Here is a 16390-nt window from a genome sequence, read left to right on the forward strand (position 1 = left end):
TGCTGGGATTATCAGCGTGAGCCACACGCCCAGCCAAACTTTATTTTTTACATGTTTAATGGTCTAACCTCCACAAAATTACATGTGAGCCACCACACCTGACTGAAATAAACAAACTTTTAAAGACATTAGGCAATTATAGTTTCAGGCCATCCGTTTTTGAATAGATTCATACTAAAATAACACTTACTCCTTTGTCCATGCTTAAGTCTAAGAAGTAAATTGTTTGATGTCCTAATCTTTTAGTTTTGGGGGCAGAACTATATATATATTTTATCATTAAGGAATCTACTTCTATGACTGTCACTACTATGAGTGTCACGAAAAAGTAATTTGCCCAAGATTACATAATTTAAAAGTAATTGAACATATTTGTTCAATCGAGTAATTGAACATATTTGTATAATTACAAAGCCCATATTCTTTTTTTTTTTTTTTTTTGAGACGGAGTCTCGCTCTGTCACCCAGGATGGAGTGCAATGGCATGATCTCGGCTCACTACAACCTCCGCCTCCTGGGTTCAAGCGATTCTCCTGCCTCAGCCTCCCAAGTAGCTGGGACTACAGGCGCGTGCCACCATGCCTGTCTAATTTTTTGTATTTTTAGTAGAGACGGGGTTTCACCGTGTTAGCCAGGATGGTCTTGATCTCCTGACCTCATGATCTGCCTGCCTCGGCCTCCAAAAGTGCTGGGATTACAGGCGTGAGCCACCGCGCCCGGCCTTAACTATTCTTAACTATTGCTTCATATATAAAGAGGCTCAACACAAATAAGCACTATTATATAAATAAAATTAAAGGAGATAACTATAGAGAACAAAGGACCAATATTACCTAGAAACTGTAGCAAGGAGGCCGGGCACAGTGGCTCACGCCTGTAATCCTAGCACTTTGGGAGTCCAAGGCAGGTGGAACATTTGAGGTCAGGAGTTCGAGACCAGATTGGCCAACACGGTGAAACCCCATCTCTACTAAAAATACAAAAAATTAGCCAGGCATGATAGTATATGCCTGTAATCCCAGATACTCGGGAGGCTGAGGCAGGAGAATTGCTTGAACCAGGAGGCGAAGGTTGCAGTGAGCTGAGATCGCACCACTGCGCTCCAACCTGGGCAACAGAGTGAGACTCTGTCTCAAAAAAAAAAAAAAAGAAAAAGAAAAAACTGTAGCAAGGCTGGGCACAGTGGTTCATGCCTGTAATCCTAGCACTTTGGGAGGCTGAGGTGGGCAGATCACTCGAGCTCAGGAGTTTAAGACCAGCCTGGCCAACATGGCAAAGCCCCATCTTTACAAAAAATACAAAAATTAGCTGGTGTGGTGGCACACACCTGTAGTACCAGCTACTCGGGAGGTTGAGGCAGGAGAATCGCTTGAACCTGGGAGGTGGAGTTTGCAGTGAGCTGAGATCACGCCACTGCACTCCAGCCTGGGCGACAGAGCGAGACTCCATCTCAGAAACAAACAAACAAACAAAACACCAGCCTGGGCAACATAGCAAGACTCCGTCTCTATAAAATTAAAAAAAAAAAAAAAAAGAACTGCTGGGTAAAGAAGTCTCATTTGGCTTATTAAAAACTGCTATTTATGGTGTACAAGCTACTTTATGGAACATGCATTTTAATAATAATCCTGTAAGGATTAAATGACATAAAGCATTAAAGCATATAGGTAAACTAGCTAATAAATGGTAGATAGTTCTGTTAGTAATATTCCCAACACCTTAAGAGGTAGGAATTATTACTGCCATTTTACAGATAAGAAAACTCAGGCTAAGGTGAAAAAAGTAATTTGCCAAAGATTACTTAATTTAAAAGGGATACAATGAGTAATTGAACATCTATGTATGATTTCAAAGCCCATATTCTTAACTATTCTTTACTACTGGCTTATCTATAAAGAGACTTGACACAGATAAGCACTATTAAATAAATAAGACCAAAGGGGATAACTGTAGAGAACAAAGGACCAACATTACCTAAAAACTGTAGCACACTGCTGAAACCACTGTAAATCCAATCAAATATGAAGGACATATCCAAATCTGATAGGGTCTGAAAAAAAAGAGTTTGAATTTAGTAGTCAACATTAAACACCAATATACATTAAACTCCAATACTGTTAAACACCAACTCTGAGTAGATAATCCTACAGCAACTTTACTACAAAGAGTTACACACTTTGGGAAGCTGAGGTGGGTGGATCATCTGAGGTCAGAAGTTTGAGACCAGCCTGGCCAACATGGTGAAACCCCAACTCTACTAAAAATACAGAAATTAACCGGGTGTGGTCATGGGCCCCTGTAATCCCAGCTACTCAGGAGGCTGAGGCAGGAGAATTACTTGAACCCAAGAAGTGGAGGTTGCAGTGAGTGGAGATTGTGCCACTGTACTCCTGCATGGTGGTGCACACCTGCAGTACCAGCTACTCAGGAGGCTGAGGTGGGACGATTGCTTGAGCCTCGGAGGTAGAGATTGTAATGAACCGAGATCGCACCACTGCACTCCAGCCAGGGTGACAGTAAATGGGATAAGAGGTTAATAGGTGAGGCAGTGAGGAGAGATTCCTATTTCAAAAAATTTCAAATGGTAAAAAACTAAAATCGTTTAAAAAAATGTTGGAAATGGGATAAGGGAAGTGAGTTTTTTTTTTTTTTTTTTTTGAGACAGAGTCTTGCTCTGTCGCCCAGGCTAGAGTGCAATGGCTCGATCTCAGCTCACTGAAAGCTTCTCCTCCCAGGTTCAAGCGATCCTTCTGCCTCAGCCTCTCGAGTAGCTGGGATTACAGGCAGGCACTGCCATGCCTGACTAATTTTTATATTTTTAGTAGAGACTGGGCTTCACCGTATTGGCCAGGCTGGTCTCCAACTCCTGACCTCAAGTGATTCGCCTGCCTCAGCCTCCAAAAGTGCTGGGATTACAGGCGTGAGCCACCCCAGGCCTGGAAGTGAAATTTCCTTCTCAAAAAGGGTGAGGCTTGAGTATGATGATAAACTAAAGAGAAGGAGATAGTGGGATGGAAGAAGTAATAGGGAAGAAAGGAATTAACCAAAAGGGACAAAGTCCCAAGAGGAGCTTGGACTGACAGCCTATGTCTCTTGTCTAAGATTAGGAGGAAAGATGGCCAGAAAATTTGTGGAGGTGGTGGGAATCTGACTCCAAAAGTGAAAGGGTATAGAGAATTTTTGAGGAGCAGAGCAAGCATTACAATAGCTACTATGGGGAATGAATCAAGTTAAAAGACTGCCAAAAAAAGCCAAGGACTCAGTTGGAATTGAAACTCAAACATTCACAGCAGTGCCAATCTGTGCTGATTTCCAACCTTCCACCCTCCACCAGCAGTGCTCAACATGGAGTGACTAGAGATTAGGAACATCCAGAATAGAAATGAAAAAGGACAAGGGGAACAGGATTTTGAGAGTACTAGTGAGAGGGCTGTAGGGATCTGATCAGAAGTTCAAGTTGAGTGGACAAAGGTAAAGAAAGGTAGTATACAGAGATGGAGCGGTGATCAAAGGCAGGCTTCTCAACAGAACAGAATTGGGAAAATAGGGTAGAAAAAGTCTCTAAGCCAAAAACAGAAAAGGGTGAGAGAGGTGAAAGGAGTGCCAGAATTGTGCCAGCAAAGTGGAAGAGAATATAGGGGGTTCAAGAATTCAAGAGAAGTTCAGGGTTGGGTGGTGGCAAACTCCAAGGCCTGGCTCTGGCATGGACGATAAAGAAAAATGGAGGTGACAGATACTGGAAGCCAGGCTAGAGGGTACACTGTCCACATTGACAGGCAGTGTAATCACCTGGAAGACTGGAGGGCACTGATACAGACTGTGAATCAAGTGGCAAAGTCCTCACTGAAGATGATTGTTGGTAGGTGAGAGCTAAAGAATGGTGAAAAGCCTTGACAGAAAAAGGATTTTTTGCATAAGGATGGTACCAATTTGCTGTTGTAAAATTTGTCCCAAGAGAGATAATCTAAGAAGACACAAACTCTGCTTTGGAAGATAATAATATATATATTTCTTTAAAATTGTGGTTTCAGCCAGGCACAATGGCTCACACCTGTAATCCCAGGACTTTGGGAGGCTGAGGCGGGTGGATCACCTGAGGTCAGGAGTTCAAGATCAGCCTGGCCAACGTGGCAAAACCCCATCTCTACTAAAAATACAAAAATTAGCTGGGTGTGGTGGTGCACACCTGTAATCCCAGCTACCCAGGAGGCTGAGGCAGGGGAATCACTTGAACCCAGGAGGCAGAGGTTGCACTGAGCCGAGATCGAGCCACTGCACCACAGCCTGGGCCACAGAGCAAGACTCTGCCTCAAAAAAAAAAAAAAAAAAAAAAAAAAAAAAAATGTGGTTTCTAGGAACCTTAAAACAAACTAGGAGTAATTAGAAACAGAATTAACTGTTTTTTTATTGTTATTTTAAGTAGAAGTAAAAATGCCCAACTAAGAATAAAAGTTACTTAGCTGCAAACAGATACCTGAGCCCAGAAAACAGGTTACACAACACCATGAACACACTATTAAGACATGTGAAGAGCAAAGGTCAAGAACAAGGAAACATACACACGTCAGCAGATTTATTTATTGCACCAATACCAAACAGGAAAAGTCTCTCTGCAGATTAGAAAAGTGATCTACTCAAGTAACATGAAAACCAGTGCAAAGGATGTAATGGAACAGAATCTCAGATTACAAGTAACTTCTTAAAGCCTTGTTCCATTAAACTACATGGATGGCTCATTTAAATGAAATATCCTGGATAGATAAATCCATAGAGTAAGTATATTAGTGGTTGTCAGACTGAAGGAAGGAAAAATGGGGAATGATTGCTAATGGGTACTGGGTTTCTTCTTGGGATGATCACATGTTCTGGAATTAGATAGTGGTGATGTTTACACAACAATGTGACTATACTAAAAACACTTAATGTACAATTTTAAAAGGTCGATTTTATGGTATATCAACTATATCTCAAAAAAGCTATTATAGAAAAATTTTAAAAGCAAATTTTAAAAAGCTTATATGGCATTTAATATTTAAAACTGATTTACATGAGTAATTACACAAAACCATTTACTTTTTTTTTTGAGACAGAGTCTCGCCTGTCGCCCAGGATGGAGTGCACTGGCGCGATCTCCTCTCACTGTAAGCTCCACCTCCCAGGTTCACGCCATTCTCCTGCCTCAGCCTCCCGAGTAGCTGGGACTACAGGAGCCTGCCACCACGCCTGGCTAATTTTTTATATTTTTAGTAGCGACGGGGTTTCACCATGTTAGCCAGGATGGTCTCGATCTCCTGACCTCGTAATCCGCCCTCCTTGGCCTCCCAAAGTGTTGGGATTACAGGCGTGAGCCACCGCGCCCCGCCACTTTTTATTTTTTTGACAGAGTCTCCCTCTCACCCAGGGAGCGCCGTCTCTGCTCACTGCAACCTCAATCTCGGGGACTCAAGCAATCCTCCCACCTCAACCTCCTGAGTACCTGGGGGCTACAGGCATAGGCCACTATGCCTGGCTCATTTACTTTTTAAAACCGGCCGGGCGTGGTGGCTCACGCCTGTAATCCCAGCACTTTGGGAGGCCGAGGCGGGCGGATCACGAGGTCAGGAGATCGAGACCATCCTGACTAACACGGTGAAACCCCGTCTCTACCAAAAATACAGAAAAATTAGCCGGGCGTGGTAGTGGACGCCTGTAGTCCCAGCTGCTCGGGAGGCTGAGGCAGGAGAATGGCGTGAAACCAGGAGGCAGAGCTTGCAGTGAGCCGAGATTGCGCCACTGCACTCCAGCCTGGGCGACAGAGCGAGACTCCATCCCAAAAAATAAATAAATAAATAAATAAATAAATAAATAAATAAATAAAACCACACATTAAGGGCCGGGAGCAGTGGCTCACGCCTGTAATCCCAGCACTTTGGGAGGCCGAGGCGGGCAGATCACCTGAGTTCGGGAGTTCGAGACCAGCCTGACCAACATGGAGAAACCCCATCTCTACTAAAAATACAAAATTAGCCGGGCATGGTGGTGCATGCCTATAATCCCAGCTACTCAGGAGGCTGAGGCAGGAGAATCGCTCAAACCTGGGAGGCAGAGGTTGCAGTGAGCCGAGATCGTGCCACTGCACTGCACTCCAGCCGGGGTGACAGAGCAAGACTCCGTCTCAAAAAAAAAAGAAAAAAAATACATATTTAGTTTGTGACCAGCCTTGGCAACGTGGAAAAACCCCATTTCTATAAAAAATACAAAAATTAGCCAGATGTGATAGCATGCACTTGGTGACAGTGAGACCCTGCCTCAAAAAAATAAAATAAAAATAAAAAATACACATTAGTTCTCAGGGGTCCTGTAAAAAAAAAAAATACACATAAGATGACAAAATACAAATACCCAAAAAGTACTATTGGGAGAAAATAAGGGACCTAATAGTCTAAAGAGGCAAATATGACATCAGAGTATGATTGTAGAATCAATGCACTAATAACTTTGGGATGCAAAGCATGGTAATGCTATGGTGAAATGGGTGTAGTAACTGTCCTAGAATACAAATATCCAGGCTGAGCACAGTGGCTCATGTCTGTAATCCCTGCAGTTTGGGAGGCGAAGGCAGGAGGATCACCTGAGACCAGGAGTTAAAGACCAGCCTGAGCAACATAACAAGATCCCATCTCTAAAAAAAAAATTTTTTTTTTTTGAGACTAAGTCTCACTCTGTCGCCCAGGCTGGAGTGCAGTGGCACAATCTTGGCTCACTGCAACCTCCACCTCCTGGGTTCAAGCAATTCTCTGCCTCAGCCTCCCAAGTAGCAGGGATTACAGGCACCCACCACCAAGCCCAGCTAATTTTTTTGTATTTCTAGTAGGGACAGGGTTTCACCATCTTAGCCAGGCTGGTCTTGAACTCCTGACCTCGAGATCCACTCGCCTCGGTGTCCCAAAGTGCTGGGATTACAGATGTGAGCCACCATGCCCGGTACAAAAAATTTTTTAAATTACCTGGGTATGGTAGCAAGAAACTGTAGTCCCAGCTACTCAGGAGGCTGAGGCTGGAGGATTGCTTGAGCCCAAGAATTCAAGCAGTGAGCTATGATCACACCACTGCATTCCAACCTGGGCAACATAGTGAGACCCTGTCTTTAAAAAAAAAAAAAAAAGAAGGATGAACTGGGCATGATGGCTCATACCTGTAATCCCAGCACTTTGGGAGGCCAAGGTGGGGGGATCACTTGAACCCAGGAGTTTCAGACCAACCTGGGAAACATGGGAAGTCCCCATCTCTACAAAAAAAATACAAAAATAGGCCAGGTGCAGTGGCTCATGCCTGTAATCCCAGCACTTTGGGAGGCCGAGGTGGGGGGATCACTTGAACCCAGGAGTTTGAGACCAGACTGGGCAACATGGGAAGACCCCGTCTCTACAAAAGAAAAAATACAAAAATAGGCCAGGCACGGTGGCTCACCCCTGTAATCCCAGCACTTTGGGAGGCCGAGGCGGGCAGATCACGAGGTCAGGAGTTCAAGACCAGCCTGACTAACATGGTAAAACACCTTCTCTACTAAAAATACAAAAATTAGCTGGGCATGGTGGCGTGCACCTGTAATCCCAGCTACTCAGGAGGCTGAGGCAGGAGAATCGCTTGAACCTGGGAGGCAGAGGTTGCAGTGAGCCAAGATCGCGCCACTGCACTCCAGCCTGGGCGACAGAGCAAGACTCCATCTCAAAAAAACAAACAAACAAACAAACAAACAAAAAAAAACAATTAGCTGGGTGTGGTGGTAGGCACCTGTAGTTCCATCTACTCAGGAAGCTGAGGTATGAGAATTGCTTGAACCCGGGAGACGGAGGTTGCAGTGAGCCAAGATCGTGGCACTGCACTCCAGCCTAGGCAACAGGGCAACATTCTGTCTCAAAAAAAAAAAAAAGAAAAAAAAGAAAAAGAAAACGAAGGATAAAACCATGACAAATATAAATAGTAGAAAATTTTTAAGAGTGGCCAAGGTGAGGGCTGGGCACAGTGGCTCATATCTGTAATCTCAGCACTTTAGGAGGCCAAGGCAGGCAGATCACTTGAGGTCAGGAGTTCGAGACCAGCCTGGCCAACATAGTGAAACCCCGAGTTGGGATGAGTATTTAAAGTGAGCGAGCGTAGAAATACTATGCTCAGCCAAGTGAGTACTTAACGAAATGAGTGTAGAAGGCTGGGGGAGGTGGCTCACGCCTGTAATCCCAGCACTTTGGGAGGCTGAGGGGGGCGGATCACCTGAGGTTGGGAGTTCGAGACCAGCCTGACCAAAAAGGAAAAATCTTGTTTCTACTAAAAATACAAGATTAGCTGAGTGTGGTGGTGTATGCCTGTAATCCCAGCTACTCGGGAGGCTGAGGCAGGAGAATCGCTTGAACCCAGGAGGCAGAGGTTGCAGTGAGCTGGAGATCACGCCATTGCACTCCAGCCTGGGCAACAAGAGCGAAACTCTATCTCAAAAAAAAAAAAAAAAAAAAAAGTAAGTGTAGAAATACACCTATAGCAGGACACAGTGGCTCACGCCTGTAATCCAAGCACTTTAGGAGGCCAAGCCGGACAGATCACTTGAGTTCGGGAGTTCAAGACCAGCCTGGCCAACATGGTGAAACCCCATCTCTACTAAAAATACAAAAATCAGCAGGATGTGGTGGTGCATGCCTGTAATCCTAGCTACTTGAGAGGCTGAGGCAGGAGAATCACTTGAACCCTGGAGGTGGAGGTTGCAGTCAGCCTGGAGCCACTGCACTCCAGCCTGGGCGATAGAGCGAGACTCCGTCTCAAAAAAAAAAAAAAAGAAAAAAGAAAAGAAATACTAATATAGCATTCCAACTTGTAAGCTTCAAATGATGTGGCAATGATTTTCATTTCCTTTTCTATTTCTTTTTTTTTCTTTTTTTTTTTTTTTTTTTTTTTTTTTTAGCAACAATGTCTTTTTCTTTCACCCAGGCTGGAGTGCAGTGGCATGATCACAGGTCACTGTAGTCTTGACCTGGCTTCAAGCAAACCCCCCATCTCAGCAGCGAGTAGCTGGGACTACTGGCCTGCTAGCCAGGGCCCTGCACCCAGCAAATTTTTTTTTTTTTAATGTAGAGACTGGGTCTTGCTATGTTGCCCAGGCTGATTTTCATTTCTGTTAGACTCATCTTTTTTCTTAATTCTTGCTTGAATTTCTATTCCAGTACAATAATGCAAGTCAAAGGAAGGTTAAAATATACCTTATTTAAACTGCTAATCTTTGTAATTACTGACAGTGCATCTCTGACATTTCTAAAATGAAGACACCTTCCTTTTCTACAAACTCAGAAAATGCCAATGAACTATCTTAACATTTTTTAAGTTCAAAACATTTTGGTGACAGACACAAGTCTACTGAAAGGTATAATAGTAGATAATCATGTTGCTTTGCTATACTGGCACCACCATTTATTTGTCATCTGTAAAATGACAGCTAGTGCCTTACTCATAGTAGTCAATAAATGTTCCTTTTCTTTCCTTCTTTCATTGTTTCAATGTGACCTACTCTTCACTGATACTTTAACACGGAATATAGGACGTCTTCAAAGACACTTAGTAATATAGAGGCTGATGTAAGAACACACAAATAAATAATACTATGTTTAATTTTTCAAGTTAAAAGGACTTCTTCACCTCATTTTGTCCACTGTACCAAACACCTTAAATTGCTGACGAATTTGGTTCTTTCAGCTAACAATGTCAAAGTTTTAGCTGTTTTAAAACAAATCTTCTTGGAAAAGCTTCAACACCTTAAAAATCAGTACAGTGGCCCACTGAGGTGGCTCATGCCTTTAATCCCAGCACTTTGGGAGGCCGAGGCGAGCAGATCACCTGAGGTCAGGAGTTGGAGACCAGACTGGCCAACATAGAGAAATCCCATCTCTACTAAAAATAGAAAAGTTAGACCGGATGCGGTGGCTCACGCCTATAATCCCAGCACTTTGGGAGGCCGAGGCAGGCGGATCACGAGGTCAGGAGATAAGAGACCATCCTGGCTAACACGGTGAAACCCCATCTCTACTAAAAAATACAAAAAAATTAGCGGTGCGTGGTGGCGGGCACCTGTAGTCCCAGCTACTCGGGAGGCTGAGGCAGGAGAATGGCGTGAACCCGGGAGGCGGAGCTTGCAGTAAGCCGAGATCGTGCCACTTCACTCCAGCCTGGGCGACAAGAGGGAAACTCTGTCTCAAAACAACAACAAAAATTTAAAAAATTAAAACAAAAATCAGTACAGTTTTCTCAACAGTGTATCTTTTTTCCACTTAACTGGGACTTTGGGCTACGGAAAACGTTAACCAGTACTAGTAAGGAAGCTCAATTTGCCTCTACACTAATTGGGAGCGCTGAAAACACCAGGCCGTGTCACAGCCTCTTCAGCTGTCAGTGAGACCCGCCACCTTCACCTTACCAGGTAAGGAAACTGAGGCCCAGGGGAAGGAAGGGGCTTGCCTGCAGCCACCTCGTTCTTTCCTGAAAAGACCAAGCGTCTGACAGCAGCAGTGTTCTGCCTCGAGGGCTATCAGACGGCCCCGCGGAGCATGGATGAGACCTGTCCTCCCTCGCGCCGCCTAACCCCGGGGTGAAAAACAGGCGCCCCTTCACGCAGTGCCACAGGCAGGGACTCAGAGTAGGTCTTGGCCCTAAAAGTGCGCCTTCTAGGGGATCCATAGCTGCTGCCCACCGGTCCTCCCAGAAGGAGGGGCTGTCACTCACCTGCGACTGGAGGGAACGCAATCCCCTACTTGGCGTTGGCCGTACACCAGGAGACCGAACTGCAAAGCGCGATGGCTGCCGTGGCCCCAGTTCGCATCAGCCCCTTCCGGGCCGGCGGGTGCCTCACTAGCGACAGTCCGCAGGACCGCGTCGCCGAGCGCCCTAGGTTCCGCCTCCTGGCAGTCTTGCCGCCAATTCCCCAGTTGAGCGAGGCTGCTCGCAACCCCTAACACCGCCTGGGTCTCCCAGCCGCCTGGTCTCCCCACACCCGCCCGCCCGAAGGGATTTTAGGGGCCTGCGTGCCGAGAAAGGAACACCCCATGCCTCCCTAGGGGAAATTACTTTTGGCATTTTTTTTTTTTGAGACGTTGTCTCGCTCTGTCTCCCAGGCTGGGGTGCAGTGGCACGATCTCGGCTCACTGCAGCCTCCACCCCCTGGATTCAAGAGATTCTCCTACCTCAGCCTCCCCAGTAGCGGGGACTACAGGCACCCGCCACCACTGTCCGGCTAATTTTTTTTTTTTTTGAAACGGAGCCTCGATTTTGTCGCCCAGGCTGGAGTGCAATGGCGCGATCTCAGCTCACTGTAACCTCCGCCTCCCGGGTTCAAGCGATTCTTCTACCTCAGCCTCCTGAGTAGCTGGGAGCACAGGCGCGCACCACCATGCCCGGCTAATTTTTGTATTTTTAGTAGAGACGGGGTTTCACCATGTTGGCCAGGCTGGTCTCGAACTCTTGACCTAAAGTGAACCGCCCGCCTCGGCCTCCCAAAGTGCTAGGATTACAGGCGTGAGCCACTGCGCCCGGCTAATTTTTGTATTTTTAGTAGAGACCGGGTTTCATCATGTTGGCCAGGCTGGTCTCAAACTCCCTAGCATAAGTGATCCACCTGCCTCAGCCTCCCAAAGTGCTGGGATCACCACCGCGCCCTGCCTAAAATACATTTTCAAAGTACACGTGCTTATTGAATTCATTTTTTTTTCTTTTTTTGTTATTTGTGCTTATTGAATTCACCAGTGATTTACACAATGTAGCTACGTACCAGATAATGTGTTGGATGCTGGTTATTCAGCTTTTATTCAGCTGGTTATTCAGTTGTTTTATAGACGGTCTTGGCCAGGCGCGGTGGTTCACACCTGTAATCTCAGCACTTTGGGAGGTCAAGGTGGGTGAATCACCTGAGGTTAGAGTTCAAGACCAGCCTGGCCAACATGGTGAAACCCCATCTCTACAAAAATACGAAAATTACCCAGGCATGATGGCAGGTGCCTGTAACGCCAGCTACTCGGTAGGCCGAGGCAGGAGAATTGCTTGAACCCGGGAGGTGGAGGTTGCAGTGAGCCGAGATTGCACCATTGCACTCTAGCCTGGGCGACAGAGCGAGACTCTGTCTCCGTCTCAAAAAATAAATAAATTAATTAAATTAAAAATAAATTTAAAAATTATATATATATATAGACGGTCTTGCTCTTTCTCCCAGGCTGGAGTCCAGTGGTGCTATCATAGCTCACTGCAGCCTCAATCTCTTGGGCTCAAGGAATCCTCCCATGTAGCTGGGACCACAGGCGTGTGCCACCAGGCCCAGCTAATATTTGAATTGTTTTGTAGAGATAGGGGTCTCATTATGTTGCCCACGCTGATCTTGAACTCCCGGGCTTAAGCGATCCTCCGGCCTCTGCCTCCCAAAGTGCTGAGATTACAGGAGTGTAGTCAGATAGTCAGCATTTTTTTTTTTGGAGGCGGAGTCTCACTCTGTCGCCCAGGCTGGAGTGCAATGGTGCGAGCTTGAGCTCTGCTCACTGCACCTCCGCCTCTCAGGTTCAAGCAATTCTCCTGCCTCAACCTCCCAAGTAGCTGGGATTACAGGCGCAGTCCACCATGCCTGGCCAATTTTTTGTGTTTTAGTAGAGACAGGGTTTCATGGTGTTGCCCAGGCTGGTCACACCCGACTAATTTTTTGTATTTTATTAGAGATGGGGTTTCACCGTGTTGCCCAGCCTGGTCTTGAATGCCTGAGCTCAGGCAATCCACCTGCCTTGGCCTCCCAAAGTGCTAGGATTACAGTTGTGAGCCACTGCACCTGGCCGTAGTCAGCCTTTTTGTATGTTTGTTTTACTATGGAACAGTTCATGAATTTGCCTATCATCCTTGTGCAGGGGCCATGCTAATCTTCTCTGTATCATTTCAGTTTTAGTATATGTGCTGCCAAAGAGAGCACACAGGTATTCAGCTTTAAACAAGACTGTTTTGACACCAATGTTCTTTTCTAATGGATTGGCATTGCCTTCTTTAAATGCATCAAGAGCTGTTTAGGGATTCTCAGCAAAGCCTATCATTGGCTCTGCTGGATCTCCTCTTTCTGCTCCAGCCTCAGGAAGTGCTTCACTCCATGCGCTCTCCCTTGACACTAGGGTTTCCCTCCGCCAGAAAAGCTTCTACCCACCTCTGCATTTCACCCGGCTAACTCCTACACACTTTTCAGGTCTCAACTCTTCAGGTCTTCCTCTCATCAAGGCCTTCCTCCCAGATTTGGTTAAGTCCTCTGTTACAGATTTTGAGATGGAGCAGGGACCCCTCTTAGGGGCCTGCCTGACTCTCCCAACCAAGTATGGAAGTAAGGGAAAATCTCGAGTTCCTTTAAGGGAAATTCCCCACACCTAGCTAGCCCTGAGCAACTTGATAAGCAAGAAAGTAATAGTAGCTCAAAACAACAGCCTAAGAAGTTTGAGTCATAAGATGTTTGGTTCTTTATAAAAACTAAAGATAACATCTTAACATATGTCCCTGAGTTGTTTTTCAGAAACCCAGACCCACATCAAATGGACCCACTGGAGCCGGGTGTGGTGGCTCATGCCTGTAATCCCAACACTTTGGGAGGCTGAGGCAGGAGGATTGCTTGAGCCCAGGAGTTTAAGACCAGCCTAGGCAATATAGTGAGACCTCATCTCCATAAAAAATAAAAAAAATTAGCTGGGCATGGTTGTATGCCTGTAGTCCCAGCTACTTGGGAGGCTGAGGTGGCAGGATTGCTTGATTTGAGCCTGGGAGATCCAGGCTGCAGTGAGCTATGATCCCACCACTGCACTCCAGCCTGAGCAACAGAGTGAGACCTCATCTCCCCCACCAAAAAAAAAAAGATATTCCATCTTTTTAGGCCAAACCAATGTATAACCTCATTTACTGATATACAATTTTGCCTGTAACTTCTGCTTTTCTGAAATTTACCCCTCCCTTTAAAAACTCTTGCTTAGGCCAGGCACAGTGGCTCACACCTGTAATCCCAGCACTTTGGGAGGCCGAAGTGGGCGGATCACCTGAGGTCGGGAGTTCAAGACCAGACTGGCCAACATGGTGAAACCCCATCTCTCTTTAAAATACAAAAATTAGCTGAGTGTGGTGGTGCACGCCTGTAATCCCAGCTACTTGGGAGGCTGAGGCAGAGAATCACTTGAACCTGGGAGGCGGAGGTTGCAGTGAGCCCAGGTCGCACCATTGCACTCCAGTCAGGGCTAGAGAGTAAGACTGACAAAAAAAAAAAAAAAATTCTGGCTTGTAAGCCATTGGGGAGGTCAGGTCTTAAGTGTGAGCTGACAGACTCTCCTTGTTTGGTGCCCTGCAAATAAACACCCTCATGTAAAGCCCCCATATAGATGTCAGGCCTTACTGCATTGGGAAGCAGACTCCAGTTTGGTTGGGTAACAAGCTTCCTCAGCAACTTTATGATTTACTTTTTTTTTTTTTTTTTTTTTTGAGACCGAGTTTTACTCTTGTTGCCCAGGCTGGAGTGCAATGGGGCGATCTTGGCTCACTACAACCGCCACCTCCTGGGTTCAAGCGATTCTCCTGCCTCAGCCTCCAGAGTAGCTGGGATTACAGTTGTGCCCCACCATGCCGGGCTAATTTTGTAGTTTTAGTAGAGACGGGGGTTTCACAGTGTTGGCCAGGCTGGTCTCGAACTCCTGACCTCAGGTGATCCATCCGCCTTAGCCTCCCAAAGTGCTGGGATTACAGGCATAAGCCACGGCGCTCGGTTTACAATTTAATCACTGAAGTTATATAATTGTATATGTGTGATTATTTGTTTAAATAATCACACCACCAGCAGACATTTCATAAGCTTCCTGAGGTTATGGCCCCTATATACTTTTTTCCCTCCTGAACCTATTTTCAGGGCCTGGCACAAAATAGGTACTTAATAAATATGATTTGTAACATGAAGGGGTCCTAGGAACATTTTTGTCCTCTGGGCGTTGAAGGGTTTTCTTTTTTTTTTTTTTTTTTTTTTTTGAGGCACAGTCTCACTCTGTTGCCTCTGCCTGTCTGGTTCAAGCAATTCTCGTGCCTCAGCCTCCTAAATAGCTGGGACTACAGGTGCCTGCCACCACGCCTGGCTAATTTTTTTTGTATTTTTAGTAGAGACAGGGTTTCACCATGTTGGTCAGGCTGGTCTCGAACGCCTGACCTCTAGTGATCCACCCATCTCGGCTTCCCCAAGTGCTGGGATTAGAGGCATGAGCCACTGCAGCGGGCCAGAAGGGTTTCTTTAGAGTTCATTAATCTGCGGTGGAAGAGCCTGTTGTTCCAGTCTGGGTTTCCCTCTACAGTCTCTCTACTCACCTAGTCTTGAATTGTTTGGTTTAATAAACACTAATGTGGCCTGAGGCAATTCACAAGGCTCCTCAACTCCTCAAGATTACAGCTATTGTCCTAGATACGCTTTCTTTCCTGATATCCCTGGCATTTTGGTCAGCCTTTTAAAAATTTGAGGTAGAGCTAGCTCCCTGACTCACATTTGTCATCTCAGCACTTTGGAAGGCTGATGTGGGAGAATTGCTTGAGACTAGGAGTTGGAGACCAGCCCGGACAACAAAGTGAGACCCTATCTCTGAAAAAAAATTTTTTTAATTAGCGAGGTGTGGTAGTGTGCATGTGAAGTCCCAGCTACTTGGGAGGCTAAGGCAGGAGGATTGCACGAGCCCAGGAGTTCAAAGATGCAGTAAGATATGATTGTGCCACTGCACTCCAGCCTGGGTGACAGAGCGAGACCCTCCCTGTCTCTTAAAAAAAAAAAAAAAGATTAACATTCTATACACTTTTATAAAACACTTAAAATGAAAAACTTAATCTAGCTACAGACTACAGGTTAAAGACTGGTTCCAACATTAGCCACTCAAAAGTTTCAGTTCCTGCATCTGTAAAATGGGGACTAATATCCCGAAGGAATGATATCATGAGAAAATAACATACAAAAAGGAATAGATATAGGAAAAGCACCAGGCAAGTATTATAGTTTAACTGAATCGATTTGGCCTAGCCCACTGGGGGCCTTGACTCCCAAACTGCAGAACCTTTTGGGGGTTTTGAGCAGAACAGAAACATGGTCAGAATTGTGTTTTTAAATGTTTCCTCTGGCAGCAGTGTGCAGATTTTATTGGAATAAGTCAAGACTGAAAGCTGAGATAAGTAATGAGGCTGCTGCAATTACACAGGTGAGAGGAAACAAGGGCCTGTGTTGAGTCAGTGGGAACAGAGAAAGAGGGAATCCTATGAGAAACTGTAAAGGTTGGAATCTGTAAGATTTCATGGCTGGGCGCAGTGGCTCACACCTGTAATCCTAGCACTTTGGGAGGCCCAGGCAGGCAGACCACGA

At 45.6% G+C, this 16390-nt stretch overlaps 1 protein-coding gene and 1 pseudogene across 3 annotated transcripts in view, besides 6 other annotated features; both read right to left on the reverse strand.

The window, feature by feature from the left end:
- SAR1B (secretion associated Ras related GTPase 1B) overlaps positions 1–10841 on the reverse strand; it is a 31680-nt gene extending 20839 nt beyond the window's left edge. The window contains exons 1-3 of one of the 3 annotated variants that reach the window (NM_001033503.3): positions 10741–10841; positions 10090–10208; positions 1975–2050 (exon numbers count right to left, since the gene is read on the reverse strand). In NM_001033503.3, coding sequence (NP_001028675.1) covers positions 1975–2032 — 58 coding nt within the window. In that variant the 5' untranslated portion in view covers positions 2033–2050; positions 10090–10208; positions 10741–10841. Of the gene's footprint in view, positions 1–1974; positions 2051–10089; positions 10213–10740 lie in introns of those variants that run through there. The other 2 variants (NM_016103.4, XM_047417257.1) reach the window with 2 other exon arrangements.
- Positions 4463–4607: an enhancer, noted in NCBI's record as "145 bp enhancer 267 fragment used in the MPRA reporter construct; PK_construct_1619". NCBI's record gives its function as "activates an SV40 promoter by MPRA in HepG2 cells {active_cell/tissue: HepG2}" and the evidence as "EXISTENCE:reporter gene assay evidence [ECO:0000049][PMID:23512712]".
- Positions 4529–4542: a transcriptional cis regulatory region, noted in NCBI's record as "HNF4 motif; enhancer activity is reduced when this motif is scrambled". NCBI's record gives its function as "necessary for full MPRA enhancer 267 activity {active_cell/tissue: HepG2}" and the evidence as "EXISTENCE:site-directed mutagenesis evidence [ECO:0005528][PMID:23512712]".
- Positions 10553–10662: a silencer, noted in NCBI's record as "silent region_16366". NCBI's record gives its function as "represses an Ori minimal core promoter by ATAC-STARR-seq in GM12878 lymphoblastoid cells {active_cell/tissue: GM12878}" and the evidence as "EXISTENCE:reporter gene assay evidence [ECO:0000049][PMID:35858748]".
- Positions 10713–10762: a silencer, noted in NCBI's record as "silent region_16367". NCBI's record gives its function as "represses an Ori minimal core promoter by ATAC-STARR-seq in GM12878 lymphoblastoid cells {active_cell/tissue: GM12878}" and the evidence as "EXISTENCE:reporter gene assay evidence [ECO:0000049][PMID:35858748]".
- Positions 10713–11292: a biological region, named in NCBI's record as "H3K27ac-H3K4me1 hESC enhancer GRCh37_chr5:133968413-133968969".
- Positions 10736–11292: an enhancer, noted in NCBI's record as "H3K27ac-H3K4me1 hESC enhancer chr5:133968413-133968969 (GRCh37/hg19 assembly coordinates)". NCBI's record gives its function as "activates a minimal SCP1, AML or CMV promoter by ChIP-STARR-seq in primed H9 embryonic stem cells {active_cell/tissue: H9 hESC(primed)}" and the evidence as "EXISTENCE:reporter gene assay evidence [ECO:0000049][PMID:30033119]".
- On the reverse strand, positions 12857–12958 carry RNU6-1311P (RNA, U6 small nuclear 1311, pseudogene; annotated as a pseudogene).

This window comes from Homo sapiens, chromosome 5 (genome assembly GCF_000001405.40).
Source record: "Homo sapiens chromosome 5, GRCh38.p14 Primary Assembly".
Classification (NCBI taxonomy): domain Eukaryota; kingdom Metazoa; phylum Chordata; class Mammalia; order Primates; family Hominidae; genus Homo; species Homo sapiens.